Source organism: Homo sapiens, chromosome 12 (genome assembly GCF_000001405.40).
Source record: "Homo sapiens chromosome 12, GRCh38.p14 Primary Assembly".
Classification (NCBI taxonomy): domain Eukaryota; kingdom Metazoa; phylum Chordata; class Mammalia; order Primates; family Hominidae; genus Homo; species Homo sapiens.
Window position 1 is genome coordinate 42,394,536 of NC_000012.12, and position 16,244 is coordinate 42,410,779.

At 35.8% G+C, this 16,244-nt stretch overlaps 1 protein-coding gene and 1 pseudogene across 41 annotated transcripts in view; both read left to right on the plus strand.

Annotated features, from left to right (window-relative positions):
* PPHLN1 (periphilin 1) overlaps window positions 1-16,244 on the plus strand; it is a 122,455-nt gene that overhangs the window by 68,369 nt on the left and 37,842 nt on the right. For 37 of the 41 annotated variants that reach the window (NM_001364826.2, XM_017019434.2, XM_011538459.2 and 34 more), the window contains one exon: window positions 4,319-4,459. In NM_001364826.2, coding sequence (NP_001351755.1) covers window positions 4,319-4,459 — 141 coding nt within the window. Of the gene's footprint in view, window positions 1-4,318; window positions 5,951-16,244 lie in introns of those variants that run through there. The other 4 variants (NM_201438.2, NM_001364833.2, NM_001364828.2 and 1 more) reach the window with 1 other exon arrangement.
* On the plus strand, window positions 4,015-4,116 carry RNU6-249P (RNA, U6 small nuclear 249, pseudogene; annotated as a pseudogene).

A 16,244-nucleotide genomic window follows, 5' to 3' on the forward strand; every position in this document is an offset into this window, starting at 1 on the left:
CCTTTCCAAAGTAACTAATGTACACTGCTCATAAAAAGTATAAACCCTATCAGAACTTACGCAAATAGAGCCTTTCTTTTTAAAAATGCTGATCTGTCTTTTAGATATCGATTGTTCTTAAGTGGGTCAAGGTTTCCTCCTTATTGTAGCTATAATAATAGATATTTATGCATATTCTCCAGTAAATGTATCAAAAACACCAAGCTGTTCCTTCTTGGTACTTTTCCAGCACTATTTAAAAGCATGAACAATACTTTTCAGTAATACATTTAATTGGATTATTTTGGTTATTTTCTCTAATAATTTAGAATAATGTTTCTACATTAATCATTGATATTTATGCTTCAAAATTGCTGCTTTGGAATATTGGTAGTTTGTTTTATGGAACCAAAAACTTTCAAAAAGAATAATTTCTTAATACTTCATCTCCAATTAACAAGGCTTTATTAATTTATGAACATTAATAGTATATTTATCCTCCCTTCTCCCATCATTTTTTATCTCAGGTTTTTATAAAAGCTCACTACTGTTCTCAAATTTAAATATTCTGCTTGGGTTCTCTCATTTCTTGAATGCATCTTGACACTGAATAATCCATGAGTGACTTCGGATCTAGAAAGACTTTTTAAACATCTTTTTTTTCCTCTAAAATTTGCTCAGAATTCGCTAGATTTCAAATTAATGAAAAGTAAATAACCCTAAAAAAAATCTGTAAGTTGAGTCATAGGTCAGACGTGTTCTTTTGTTGGATCAAAGGCAAGATATGTGAGAGTAGCACTGATAACCATAATATGTTTATTTCTGTATGTCATTAATGTTGAACAGCAGCATCAATTTCATCCCATTCTCTAAAATATTTTTCTACTTAGATTGATACTTTTTCGTACTGGAAATCATTTGGGAAATTTTTGAGATAATTTTTGTAAACTTAGTCCCATATCATATTAATATTTTTCTCTTATTAATACTTTAGCTTATTAATATTTTGCTAATTTGTTCTCAGGCTATTGTTAAATAGTTACTCATTTCAGTGGTCCGTGCTTTTTGAGAAATATAATTTTGGCCTTGGTCCTGTAAACTGATATCTAATTTGACAGAATAGCCTGGAAAGAAGAAAGGCCTTTGATGCCAAGCAAGAGTTTGGCAAAGTACTGTGTATGTGTGTGTGTGCATGTGCGTGTCTGTTTAAATCTAATTGTGGCAATATTTTATTTTATATGAGCCTTTTAAGTAATGGTTCATGTACTTCAGAAACATTGTGTAAATTTCATTATTATGAGCTGAGATAGATAGAATGAATGCTTAAGTTTCCACCTTGTCTTCACTTGCTGCCCTCATTATAGTTCTAAGCAATTTGTTTGGGAAAACGTGTAGTTCATAGAAAGTCCAGTGAAATTGAAGGTAAATTCAATAATATACTTAAATATTCAGGCATGTTGTGGTTCCTGCCACTTTTCAGTTTTATACTTTCATCTTCTGGGCTCTACTACAGCATTTCCCAAGGTATTTGACAGCATATCTGAAGGGTCTTAATGGTCTGAGGAAGAAAAAAAAAGATTCTAGTAGCCAGTTTATTTGAGATGCTAAGTTTAAAAGAGTTAGGTTGGTTTTGATATTTCAGCACTTTTTAGAGATTTTAATTTATTATTAATATGTTCATCGGTGTTCAGTAAGAGGATAATAAAAGAGTTTGCATAATTTACCAAACTTTTGACTATGTAATTTTTTTCACAGCATGTATTTCAGGATTAGTGTTTTAAGGCACACTTAAAAAATACTGTACTAGTTTTCTTATAGTTTATTTAAATTCACTAAATATGCATTGTATATCCACTTGTGTCAGACATTGCTTTTGAGGTACCATCCTAGCCATCAAGAAGGTTGCAGTCAAGTTTTGTAGAGATATAATTTGCTGTCCTTAAACAAATAGCTGTGAGAGTTTTCTTTTGGTTGTCAGAATGAAAAGAAAATTGTTTGAAGGATATTAGAATGTCCTGGTAGATGAGACCTAGGCAGGAAGATTGTTTGAGGCCAGGAGTTGCAGACCAGCCTGGGCAATGTAGTAAGGTCTTGTCACTACAAAAAAAAAAAAAAAAAAAAAAAAAAAAAAAAAGCTGGGTGTGGTGGCCGCTTAGTCCCAGCTACTCAGGAGACTAAGGTGGGAGGATCACTTGAGCCCAGGAATTGAAGTTTGCAGTGAGCTGTGATCACACCATGGCCCTCCAGGCTGGGTGACAGAGCAAGACCCTGTCTCAGAAAAAAAAGAAATGGGGACAGCGGGGCAGGTATGCTGGCTTACACCTGCAAAAATAGTGGGACCCCATCTGTACAAAAAAAAAAAAAATCCACAAAAAATTAGCTGGGCATGGTGGCATGTGCCTGTAGTTCTAGCTGTTCAGGAGGCTGAGGTGAGAGGATCTTGCTTCTGGATGATTGAGGCTGCAGTGAGCTGTGACTGCATCACTGCACTCCAGCCTGGGTGGCAGAGCAAGACCTAGTCTCAAAAAAAAAAAAAAAAGTCTCAGTAGAACAGGTCACTTCCTGCTGTAGAGGAAAAATTTAAAATTTACGACTTATGTTGTTTTCACATATAGGGTGTTATTTTTGGCTTCAATGTCTGTGCTTATTCTGTCCCTAGTCTAGAATGACCATCTTCCATGGCTCTCTTTCAAATTTATACTCATTCAGTGGAATCACTAGTGTTGGAGATAATACAACTCAAGATCTTGATTCCACTTTTCTACCTACTATAACATTTTATGCCACTTTATATTTCATTGATGACCTTAATTTTTTTGCCTAGTGATATATGTTGAATGTATCTCAAACACTTGCTTTGTTTTCTGTACAGTACCTCGGACATATATATCTAATTGAAATACATTTAATTACTAATGAGCTCTTTTAAATTAACTGTCAGTTTTTTTTCCCCTTTTTCACTTGCTTTTTGTTTCTGAAAGCTCCTGTCTTCTCTGTTGTACTTTCTTTGCTCACCAGTTTACACATTGTGTATAGGCCTATGTCTTAGTTTTACATATTGTGTATAGGCCTATGTCTTAGTTTTGTGTTGCAGTAACAGAACACCAGTGACTGGGCAATTTACAAAGAATGTTGCTAGTGGAATTCTTTTCTTAAATGATTTTTATGCTTTTGGTATAAGTCCCTTAACATATGTAACTCAAACTTCTTTAAAAAAAAAACTAGGTTTGTTTGTTTTTTGAGACAGTGTCTGGCTCTGTCGCCAGGCTGGAGTGCAGTGGCGCTGGTGTGATTTTGGCTCACTGCAACCTCTGCCTCCCGGGTTCAAGTGATTCTCTTGCTGGGATTACAGGCACCTGCCACCACACCCAGCTAATTTTTGTATTTTTGGTAGAGACGGGTTTTCACCATGTTGGCCAGTATGGTCTTGATCTCTTGACCTCGTGATCCGCCTGCCTCGGGTTTTTTTTTTTTTGGTAGATCATACATGTATGTGTCAGAAATTCAAATGACACCAAAGTATTTACAATGTGGCTCTTCTTTGCTACTTCTTCTAAGTTGTTACTATTGAGACAACTCCTTTGATAATTTTTTCTGTAGTGTCCTTCCAGAGACAGTCTATGCATATATGTATTCCAATACTTAATCTCCCACCTGACCGTTTTAGACATAATTCACAGTATATTTATTCATTTTTAATTATTGGTCTAAAACTGAAGTGATCATTATTGATTTGTGGGGTTTTCTTTTTAATGATTTCAGTGAATTATTAGGCTACAGGAGCAAGGTGATTTAACTTCTAAAAATACAGCCTTTTCTCATATTCCCTTTAAATATATTTCTTTATTTGTGTACAACACCTCTCACTTCCATTTGGACTTTTTCTCCTCAGTATTTCGTAAACTGATCACTTAAGGAATAGTCAAGGGACAATAATTTTTTATCTGTATCTTAATATAATGTGAAATAATATTTTGGAATCGAATAGGCCTAGAGGCTTTGTCTTACCTAAAATTTAAAAAGTAACAGCCTCACTTGCTTCGGCAGCACATGCACTAAAAATTGGAATGAAACAGAAGATTAGCGTGGCCCCTGCACAAGGATGGCACGCAAATTCATGAAGTGTTCCATATTAAAAAAAAAAAAGTAGCAGTCATTTCTTCTTTAATCCATTTCACATATGCTCATTATGCATAGTGAAATGGAGAGAGTTTTCTTTTCTTAAAACATGTTAAATCTAGCACTTAATATAATTTGCCAGTTAGTGCCTATACACAACCATCTGAACTGCTCTATGTTTTTTAAGAAAATAATTAAAGATTTCTAATTCCTTTTCAAGGCGGGATCCACAGCACCATTGTTTACTGACCAGCCAGAGGAACCTGAGTCAAACACAACACATGGGATAGAATTATTTGAAGATAGTCAGCTAACCACTCGCTCTAAAGCAATAGCATCAAAAACCAAAGAGATTGAACAGGTGAGAGTCTAGTTGTCTTCATGTACATAATTTTTGTTTGTGTTGCTTTGCACATGTAAACATTTATTGAATAAATATGCTTCATTTCTTTTTCCACCTGTAACTCTAAAACTACAACTTAAAAAATTATAAAAATTGTTTGAGTTGACTTCACAGTCAGTTTGATCAGTATGGTCCCCCACCTGGATTGTTTATTTTTAAATAAAAAACAGACTTCTTTTTTACAGAATATTAATATTCTAGTTAGTATGAAGCAATTAAAAATTATTAAAGTTAATAGGGATGGGATGGAAGAAATGTTCAATGTAGCAAAATGTTAGCAAATGTTATTTTTGAATATTGGGATTACAGATGTTTCTTATGTTTTTTCATTATACTTTAAGGTAGTTTCCAAATATTAAAGGAAAAATAAAGGATACTATTTAAGTCTAGTTTTTTAGTGAAGTCATTCTGAAAAGCAGGACTTTGTTTTTAATGTGCAACTATTATGGGGTTATTTTCATTTTATGAGGATTAAATGAAGTAAATGTGAAAGGGTTTTATAAAATGTAACATTTTGTACAGGTGCTTATTGATGTTGTTACTCTCTAGTGCGTTGAATAAATGTAATTACATTGATAATAATATTCTAAAACCTATTGGAAATTAAGAACAAAGTGAAAACTTTTCTCTAGGTGCTGTCCGATTTCTACATCAATTAAATCCGTTTCCTTTTGTTGGATAGGGAATGGTCTCAAATCCTAGATGTGACCGTGTAGCTTATGTTAATGTCACACTAATGTGAAAAGATAAGAACCAGAATAGGAAATTTGTCATGCAAACCATTGGAGTTTCAAAATGAAGGTGGTGAGCAGTATCAGATGCTTAGAGGAATATAAGGAAAATGGAGACTGAGAAAATTCTGTTTAATTTGGTGATTGGGAGGCAGTTGGTACCTTTCAAGATACCAATTAAATGAGAGCATAAGTAAAAGGTTTGCTCAGTATATCTATCTTTAACACAAAGATGAATGTCTTTATTTTATATAAAATTACTGTCCTTTTTTTTCTTGACATGTTTTTATTTCCTTTTCTCCCCTTACCATAATGGATGCTCTGTGAAAACAAGGGCTTTGTTTTATCTTGTTTTATTTACTGCTACATCTGCCATCACCGAGAACAGTATGTGTAGCAGGCTTACAAGAAATACTTGTGGCCGGGCGCGGTGGCTCACGCCTGTAATCCCAGCACTTTGGGAGGCCGAGGCGGGCGGATCACGAGGTCAGGAGATCGAGACCATCCCGGCTAAAACGGTGAAACCCCGTCTCTACTAAAAATACAAAAAATTAGCCGGGCGTAGTGGCGGGCACCTGTAGTCCCAGCTACTTGGGAGGCTGAGGCAGGAGAATGGCGTGAACCCGGGAGGCGGAGCTTGCAGTGAGCCGAGATCCCGCCACTGCACTCCAGCCTGGGCGACAGAGCGAGACTCCGTCTCAAAAAAAAAAAAAAAAAAGAAATACTTGTTGGATGGATGACAGGTGGAGTCATAAACCTGCAAGTGACCTTCGAGTAGTCCCTAACTACTGTATAGAATCTCACAGCCTGTTGCTCAGGCTGTTCTCAAACTCTTGGCCTCAAGTGATCCTCCTCTCTGAGCCTCCCAAAGTGCTGGAATTATAGGTGTGAGCCACTGTGCTAAGATGCAGTTCTTAAAAGGAGAGGTTCTCTTAAGAATGTAACTGGTAGAAAAACTTGATTGAAATAACAGGGGAGAGCGAGACCCTGTCTCTCTCTCTCTCTCTTTCTCTCTCTCTCTCTCTCTCTTTCACACACACACACACACACACACACACACACACACGTGCACGCAAGTGGCTATACTCTGTATGCTGTTCGGTATTCTTAGAGATCATTCCATATTAGCCCATTATTAATAGATATTTACATCTGTTGTGAACCATGTTTTCAAATACAGTCCCTGATTTCTCCATATTTTTTAAAAGATATGCATGTATATTTTTAATGAGTAAAGCATTACATTTAAAATGAACAATTCTGGGAGGTTTTTGGTTTAATATTGTGGATGTCACATGCCAGGTTTGAGAGTAATCAGAATGTGAGTTTGCAGAGAATCTTAATTTCTTGCTTGTACCAGTCACCGTCAACCTTTCTTAAAAATTGTGTTTGTAAATACAATTAATAAAGCCTAAACCAAAACAATTGCAGGGATGTGCCTGAAAATATTTTTTAAATATATTATACTCTTCAAATTACAAAAACTTGCCATCTGTAGAAGGACGAGTCTCTCTCTTTTTATTTTTATTTGGTAGATAATAAATGAGAAAAGAACAAGTACCATGAATTCGTTTTTAAACCTCTTTGGCTCTTTCAGAACACTCTCCTAATATAATGCTGTTTTATGAAAATGTTTATTTTTCTACCTATAAGCAGGGGTCCCCAACCCCTGGGCTTGTGGACCGCTACTGGTCTGTGGCCTGTTAGGAACTGGGCGTCACAGCAGGAGGTGAGTGGCCATGGGGAGGGGGGAGGGAGGACAGGGGAGTGAGCATTACCTCCTCAGCTCTACTGCTTGTCAGATCAGTGGTGGCATTAGATTGTCACAGAAGCGCAGACCCTATTGTGAACTGCAGACACGAGGGATCTAGGTTGTGTGCCCTCTCACTCCTTCCGTGGAAAAAATTGTCTTCCTCAAAACTGGTCCCTGTTGCCAAAAAGGTTGGTGTCTGCTGCCTATAAGTATGCTATCTTTTGAAAAAAGAGCTGATTATATATTCATCAGGTAATTTATAGTTAAAATATAGATAGGAATCATTTTAGTTATAGGGAAGGTACCATTTTGAGGTGTTTTTTGTTGTTGTTTGTTTATTTGTTTGTTTTTTGAGACAGGGTCTTACTCTGTCGCCCATGCTGGAGTGCAGTGGCACGATTACACCTCACTGCAGCCACCACCCCCCAGGCTCAAGCAATACTCCCACCTCACCCTCCTGAGTAGCTGGGACTACAAGTGTGTGCCACCACTCCCAGCTAATTTTTTTTTGTATTTTTTGTAGAGATGGGATTTCACCTTGTTACCCATGTTGGTCGCCAACTTCTGGGCTCGAGAGATCTACCCACCTATTACAGGCGTAAGCCACCGCACCCGGCCCATTCTGAGGTTCTTAAACATAAAGAAATAGAGTAATCAGGGACACTTGGGGAAAGGGATTGATTATTTTGGTGTTCTTTTCTTTCTTTTAACTTCAAAACACTTATCCTGAATATTTTTTGTTTCTGTAAAGACAATTTTTATTATAGTCATAGCTATGCCAGCTTTGTTATGTGAAACTTTACTTCTTAGCCATTTAGGAACCCCTTTCCTTATTACAATTAGCTAAGAAAAATTGAGTTAATTCAGACTTTATTTTGTTGATTGTTATTAGCTTTATTAAGAGTCTGTTGTAAGTCTAAATCTACTTAATATATTTTTTATTTTGAATTCCGTACTATCACCATTTGTGCGACTATATGGGCTACTTTACTAGCTTTTCTTCGCTTTTCCCTCCAAATAAAAGGGTTGGGCTGAATAATCTTAGGTCTCTTCCTGATCTAAATCATACTGAAAATTAAAAGTTAAATATTACTTTTTCTGTACACAGTTGTGTGTAGTAATTTCATATTTAACTATAGAATTTTAAGTTTTTTTTTTAAACCTTCTTAAGGACACAGGGCTCTTAAATTAAAATAAGTTTTTAAATAACCTTCGAATATACCACTGTTATGTGTCAGTCAGTAATTAGTATTTGTTGAGTTAATGAATTGTGCAGAGCAGGTTTTCTTCCGTAGATAGGGTGTTAGATTTAATTGTAAGTGTTGTAGCTGTGGCCATTTTCTCTTCTTACAGTGTCTCATTTCAGCTACTACTCATTGTCTGATGATTCCCAACACTCACTAGCTCTTGCTGTTTCTCATATATAATCTGTTTTTGTTTTACATTTAAAGAGGCTAGAAGTAAAGATTAGTGAAATGTACAGTCTTGAAAATGTTAACTAGAGTTGTGGACATGGAAAATAATCAGCTTTTAGCATATGATGCATTCCAATGAAATTGTTTTCAAAGTAGTGGCAGCTGTATCTATTGTTGTAGGTTCAAGATCTAAGCATTTCATAGTAACCTTACATAATAGAAACATTCTTTGTTTTTCCTTTTTATCAGAGCAAGTAACCAATGTTCTTTAAAGTGCAGCTCTCACCACTATCTTGTCTAGACATCAAGTCTACCCTACTGTATTTAACAATCCATTATTACCAACCACTTGTTCAGATTTTACATACATACAGTTAGTAAAATATACTCACATAAGATGTACCTCTGAAAGTCTGGATTCCCAAAACAACTTGAAAAGAGATGATTTATTTTGACCAAATTTCAAAGAGTTTGAAAGTTACAATTTACCAGATTCTGGTCATGCTGTTACTGCAGAAGCTTGTTGAAGTAAAAGTATAAAGTTTTTATTTTAAGAGAATCTAAAAGCTATCTCTATAAGATAATTTGTATCATATTTAAAAGGAAGCATCTCTTAAAGGTAATTTAGTTATTTTGTACCTGATATCTCTTTAAGTGGGAAGCTTGATGAATCTGTTAAGATGTTATATTTACATCAAATATAAAATCTAGATAGTACAGATACCAAGTCTTATTAGAACCATACTTAAAATGATATGAGTACCTTAAGGGATGAGGCCATCTTGCACCTTATCCTTGGGGATGTTACCACTGAAACAAAAAATACCCAGTTATAAAGCAGTTCCAGTAAAGGTAATCCCCATGGCATAAACCCAAGTATAAGCTTCATTTTCTTACCTCTTCTCCTCATCCACTCTCTACCAGTGTTAGGTAAGGATTTTACCTAGTGGTTCCAAATTACTGTCCCATGCTACTCAATTTTGTTTTCTTAGGTCAACAATTTTTTTTAGTCTCTGAGTATTTTATGGTAAGGACATTTATAAATGGCATGGTATAATGAACACTTAGTGTTTTCACATCTTAGAGACCTTTTCCTCTTTTTTTTTTTTCTTTTTTTTGAAACGAGGTCTCACTGCATTCTCTAATTATAAGTTCTCTCACAGAATTGACAACCTATTATATGTGAAAGCCGTTTATGTATGAAAATTACCATACAGGTGGTTAATGGTAGTGTTAAGTAATACTTTCTGCCTGTTTCTTTGCAGCTTTGCAATATTGATTACTTTCAAATTACTTCTTAAGAATATTTTAGGCTGGGCACAGTGGCTCACGCCTGTAATCCCAGCACTTTGGGGGGCCCAGGCGGGTGGATCACTTGAGGCCAGGAGTTCGAGACCAGGCTGGCCAACATAGTGAAACACCATCTCTACTAAAAATACAAAAATTAGCCCAACATGGTGGTGGGTGCCTATAATCCTCGCTACTTAGGAGGCTGAGGCAAGAGAATCACTTGAACCTGGGAGGCAGAGGTTGCAGTGAGCCGAGATTGCGCCCTTGCACTCCAGCCTGGGCAACAAGAGCAAAACTCCGTCTCAACAACAACAACAACAACAACAAAAATATTTCATAGCAAGTTTGTGATATAGGTTTACCTCTGAAAGGTGATTTTCTGGTCAGTGTCAAGGTTTCGACTATTTGCCTCTTACCTCTTCACTTCTTTTGTTTTGTTGTTGTTTATTTCCTTTTCCCCACCTCCTTCCTAATTTGTTCAAAATGAAATGTAAAAATACTATTAAAAAATATTTGTTTTGCAGCCGGGTATGGTGGCTCACACCTGTAATCCCAGCACTTTGGGAGGCTGAAGCAGGCGGATCACAAGGTCAGGAGTTCAAGACCAGCCTCACCAACATGGTGAAACCCTGTCTCTACTAAAAATACAAAATTAGCCGGGCGTGGTGGCCCATGCCTGTAATCCCAGCTACTCAGGAGGCTGAGGCAGGAGAATCGCTTGAACCCAGGAGACAGAGGTTGCAGTGAGCCAAGATCATGCCATTGCACTCTAGCCTGGGTGACAGAGTGAGACTCCGTCTAAAAAAATAAAAATAAAATAAATTTTTTTTGCTTATTTTGGGGGACTTTGTGATTTTGCTTTCACATTTTTCATTTGGCTTGCTCTTTTTATCTCAGTGTTCCTTATCTGTTTTGCTTGTATACACATAGCATAAAAAGATTAATGTTTCCTCCTTAGAATTCTCTACCGTCCTTTTCCTAAAGCATAAGTTGTTCTCATACTTTCCCCTTCATCTGTCATCTCTCATTTTTAAGATGTGATCTGTCTTGAAACATCTGCTGTCCTCTCTTAACTATTGTTTAATTCAGGTATTGTGCCAGGAGAGAACAAATGTGTATGTTTTATATGCACTTGAGTGCTGACTACAATTACAGTGTGAGTTAATTGATATTCTCAGTCCATTTATAAGAAACATTTTAAAAGCTGCACTAAGAAAATCTCATGTTTTACTTAAAGGTAACTTGAAAGTAAACACTAGAAGTGAATTGATGATTGTCTAATGTCTGGTTTATTGGGAGCTAATTATGTTATCTTTCGTTGTTTTTCTTTCCTTACTCTTCCTCTTTCTTTTTGCATTTTTTATGTTTTTGGGGTTTTAAAAAGAAAACCATTATAGGAAATCAGACAATGCAATATATGTTATTTCTGTTTTGAATACTTATTTACATGAGTTAGCTGGGGGAATATTTGTAGGGGTTTTTTGGTCTGCCTGAAAGCCAAATCTTAAGATTTTTAATCCCTCAATTACTGGAACTTGGGGGAAAAGTGAGCAGTTCAGTGTAATTTAATTTTCCAGTTGGCTGAAGTTAGCCATGCTAAACTCTGCTATGTTTGTTATTATGTTTTGCTTTTTTTTTAAAATCACTTTTAGTGATGTATGTAATACAGAAAGAAGAGTGTTCAGAACCTAGTTGTTAATCTGAGTGATTTTTTCTACAAAGCAAATACTTGTAAGAACTACCATTCAAGGCAAGAAATAGAATATTACCAGCACCCAAGAATCCGTTCATCTCCCCTCCTAACCTTTACCCCCTTCAAGGTAACTACTAAATTGATTCTTAACATTATAGTTTAGTCTGGTTTTTTTTTTTTTTTGAGACAGAGTCTTGCTCTGTCACCCAGATTGGAGTGCAGTGGTGCGTTCTTGGCTCACTGCAAACTCCACCTTCCGGGTTCATGCCATTCTCCTGCCTCAGCCTCCCGAGTAGCTGGGACTACAGGCACCCGCCACCATGCCCGGCTAATTTTTTGTATTTTTAGTAGAGATGGGGTTTCCCGTTAGCTAGGACGGTCTCGATCTCCTGACCTCGTGATCCGCCTGCCTCAGCCTCCCAAAGTGCTGGGATTACAGGCGTGAGCCACCGTGCCCGGCCTCTGTTTTTGAACTTTATACAAATAGAATCATATGGAATATAGTATTTGTGTCTAGCATCTTTTGTTCAAAATTGTGTTTATGAGATTCGTTGATGTTGTTACATGTTATGTATCTCCTTATGGTTTTAATTTGCATTTGCCTGATTAGTGATGCTGAGGACTGTTTCCTGTGGTTATTGGCACATGAATATCCTTTTTTTGTAAAACGGCTATTGAAATTCTTGTCCATTTTTCTAATTAGTTATCTTTTTTTCAGTTGATTAGTAGAAGTTCTTTATATATTCTGAATACAAGGTGGTTATATGTGTTGTGGATATTTTTCCCATTTTGTGGCATTCTTTTGATATCTTTGGGGGAATAAAAGTTCTTAATTTTATTGTAATCTATACTTTTCAATCTTTCCTATTGTTATTTGTCTTACTATTTAAAATTTCTAGAAGCTTTTTTTATTTTATATTTTACATTGAGTTATAGTCATCTGAAAATGATTTTATGTATTGTTTGTATCAAATATAGCAGGGATCAAAATTTTTTTCCACTTGGACATCAATTTGACCCCAAACCATTTGTTGGAAAGATCATATGTTTCTCCCTACTCTGCATTGACCCCTGAGTTATAAGACATCCATGTAAGTCTGTATGAATCTGTTTCTGGACTCCATTCCATTGGTCTGTTGATCCTGCAACAATACTACCCCATCTTCATTATTATAGCTTTTATAAGTCTTGATATATGTAGAGGTAGTCTTCCTACCTTGTTTTTCTTTTTTAAGAGTGTGTCTGTACTTGGAGCTTTGAATTTTGTAGAAATTTTAGAGTCAGTTTTTCAAACTCTCAGAGACAATAAACAAAGCCTGTTGAGATCCTGGCTCAGGATATCTCAAGAAGTTGTAGTTCAGCTGGCAGCCAGGGCTACAGGGTTACAGACATGACTGGAGCTGGTAGATTGACTTCTGTGCTCATTCACATGCTGTTGGCAGAAGATTTTGGTTCCTTTCCTTGCCATATGGGCCTCTCCACAGCACTTGCTTATGACATGGCCTCCACTAGAGCTAGTGACCTAAGAGTAAAAGAGTGACACCTTAATGCTTTCATTGGTTTAGTCTCCAAGTCACATACCATCACTTCTGCCTTGTTCTGTCCATTAGAAGTGAGTCACTAAGCCCAGCCCAAAATCAACTGGAAGGAATTACACAAGGAAGTAAATGTAGTGATTCCTCAGTATCCGTGGGGAATTGGTTTCAGGACACCTCAGAGATACCAAAATCCATGGATGCTCAAATCCCTTATGTAAAATGGCCTTGTATTTGCATATAACCTACACACATCCTCCTGTATACTTTAAATCATCTCGATTATTTATAATACCTAATGCAATGTAATGCTGTGTAAATAATTGTTTGTAAATAATTGCTATGTAAATAATTGTACTGTGTTGTTTAGGGAATAATGAAAAGGAAAAAATTCAGTACATGTTCAGTACAGATGCACCCATACCCATTCATTTTTCTCCCCCAAATATTTTTGATCTGTGGTTTGGCAGTCCATGGATGTGAAACCCATAGATACTCAGAGCCAACTGTACCAGAAGGTAGGGATCACCGGGGGCTATTTGGAGAGTTAGCCATCATATCCTCCCATGATTAGTGTTATTGAAGTTAGCAGGTTTATTATTCTTTTCAAATAACTAACTTTTGATTTTATTTATCTCTTTCTTCTTTAGTATTCTTTATTAATAATTTTCTATTTTGGGCGGGCTTAACTTGCTATTTAAAAAAAACATTCCTGAGCTGGATGCTTATTGATCTGCAGCTTTTCTTTTAACATATAAATTCTGACTCTTGGCCAGGTATGGTGGCTCACGCCTGTAATCCCAGCACTTTGGGAGGCTGAGGGAGGAGGTGGATCACTTGAGGTCAGGAGTTTGAGACCAACCTGACCAACGTGGCAAAACCCTGTCTGTACTAAAAAAATACAAAAATTAGCCAAGTGTGGTGGCTTTTTTTTTTTTTAACATTACTTTTAATGGCAAAAACCACAATTACTTTTGCACCAGCCCAGTAGATTCTAGTGCATCCACACTATGGAATTTTATACAGGCAGTAGAAGGATTAACAGAGAATTACCAAAGTACATAATGGTGTATTACTTTAGTAGTTAGGTAAGTAGCATAGGAACTTTGGTGTTAGGGGATCTGGCTTAAATCTCAGTTCAACTGCTTAATAATATGTGTCTTTGGGAAAGTCACTTAACTTTTCTGAGCCTTGCTTTGCTCATCATTGTAATGGGATTGGTGACATTACCCACTTCATAGTAATGTTAGAATGAAGTGAGTATGTATATTTATGTTGCCTAAGACATTGTCAGTAATCAAAATATCTGCTATTATTGTTTTGTGGATTAGCCTGGGATCTTGAAATAAGGCAGAAATTTCAGTTAAGTAACTGATAAGTCACACTGAGAAAAAACTATTCCTTTGGTAATTCCTTGTATTGTAAATTACAGTAGTTCTCCCACTTAACTGGGTTCTAAGACACCCAATGGTTTTCTGAAACCACAGATAATACTGAACCCAATATTTTTCCTATACATACATATTTAAGATAAAGTTTAATTTATAAATTAGGCACAGTAAGAGATTAACAACAATAAGTAAAATAAAATAGAAGTATTAAAATAATGTAAAACTTGTGTGAATGTGGTCTACCTTCTCTTTCTCTCAAAATATCTTATTGTACTATAATCACCTATTTTTGGACCATGGTTGACCTTGGATTACTGGAACTATGGAAAGCAAAACTGCTGATTGGGGGTGAGGGGACTACTGTATAGTCTTTGTGAGTGGATTAAAATTTACTTCATTAAAACCAAAAAAAATGGACAACTCCTGTCACTTTTATCTAGTGATTGTTTCTTAGTAGAAGTCAAAGAAAAGGGCAGTGCAGATACTGGAGAACTGAAATGTGCAGGTTGGTGATAATATGCTGTTATATTGTCATCTCCATAATTAACCTATGATGGTAGTGATTGTATTGAGGATAATGAGACCTGATTTTTGTACAGATGTCTTTTAAAGGTTAATGTGCTTGGGAAACAGTCTTTAAAATATATAACAGCAGTGTTACTTAGGGATAGGGATTTTGTCTTTCATTTATTATTTTAATCATACAATCCCCTTGTTAGAGTGGTAAGGAATGTTTTCTTTCATGGTACCTTTGAAATAATCATTTATGGTATGTAAATTCCTTGCCAGCAAATATAGTGTATTTCCTCCCATTGAAAACTTTCCTCCCATTGAAAACTGCTTTAAGGTTTTTTTTTCTGAACATTGTCCTGAACGTATCCACTCCATTGTCTTTTGCTGTTAAAGAGACTGTACTGAATTGTGTTGCTTATTTCTATCTTTAAGATAATTGACGATTATTTATCTATTATGTGTCTGTTTTCATTAGTTTCATTGTCTTCTATTGGGGGTCTCAATTATAATTCTTGCCCCAGAGTTCTGACAGTTTTATATTGTTCTCCAGTTTTATATTATATCTCTGACAGCTTTATATTGTTCTTCAGAAGTTTCAGATCATATGAAGTCCTAATTTTATATTGTTCTCCAGAAGTTTCAGATCATATGAAGTCCTAATGATAATAAACATTTTTTAAATCTAGAGGGTTTAAATAGTACTCATTGTAAATCTCTAATTATCTGCTTTAGAAATTCTTTGTAGCTTTGGAAAAGCTTAAAGAAACACTTAGGATTCTGTCAGTAGAGGCTTTCTTACATACAAATATGTTTTCATTCCATGTTTTTTTTTTTGCAGTACATTCTCTATTGTGATTGTCAAAACTGTAAGGACCCCATGTAAAGCAAAAGAGTAAATAATGTTAAATTGACTTTTTACTTGAATCTGGCATTAAGGGAGGGTAGTTTGAAGCATGTCTGATTTTTTTAAACTTTGTTTTATTTATACTAAAAATATATTCTTATTCACTGAATTCATCAGTTGCATAGTCAACTGTGTACAACCAGAAGTTTAATATCTTTTCTTCCTACCAATAGCTGGCATGTGTTCAGATAAGATACTGCCTACCTTATTAACAGGCTGAAAGGAAAATTACCTAGTTAATCATCTTTGCATCATTTGGAATTCCTTGCATATCGTAGACTTGCTGTAAATGTTTGTTTAGCAGTTATGAATGGTACTGGAAAGGGTGCTTCAGTCTCATGTAGTTTGGCTCTGTCATTTGCTAATTCCAGCTAATGAAGATAAATATTACAGTGAGTCTTCAAGAACCTTTGCTTTTAAGCAGTTAGAAAGTAAAAGAAGCAGCAAAACTGTTTCATTCATTTGGATGCAAAAACACAGCCAGCCAGGCTGTAATGGTTTTCAAAACACACAAGATT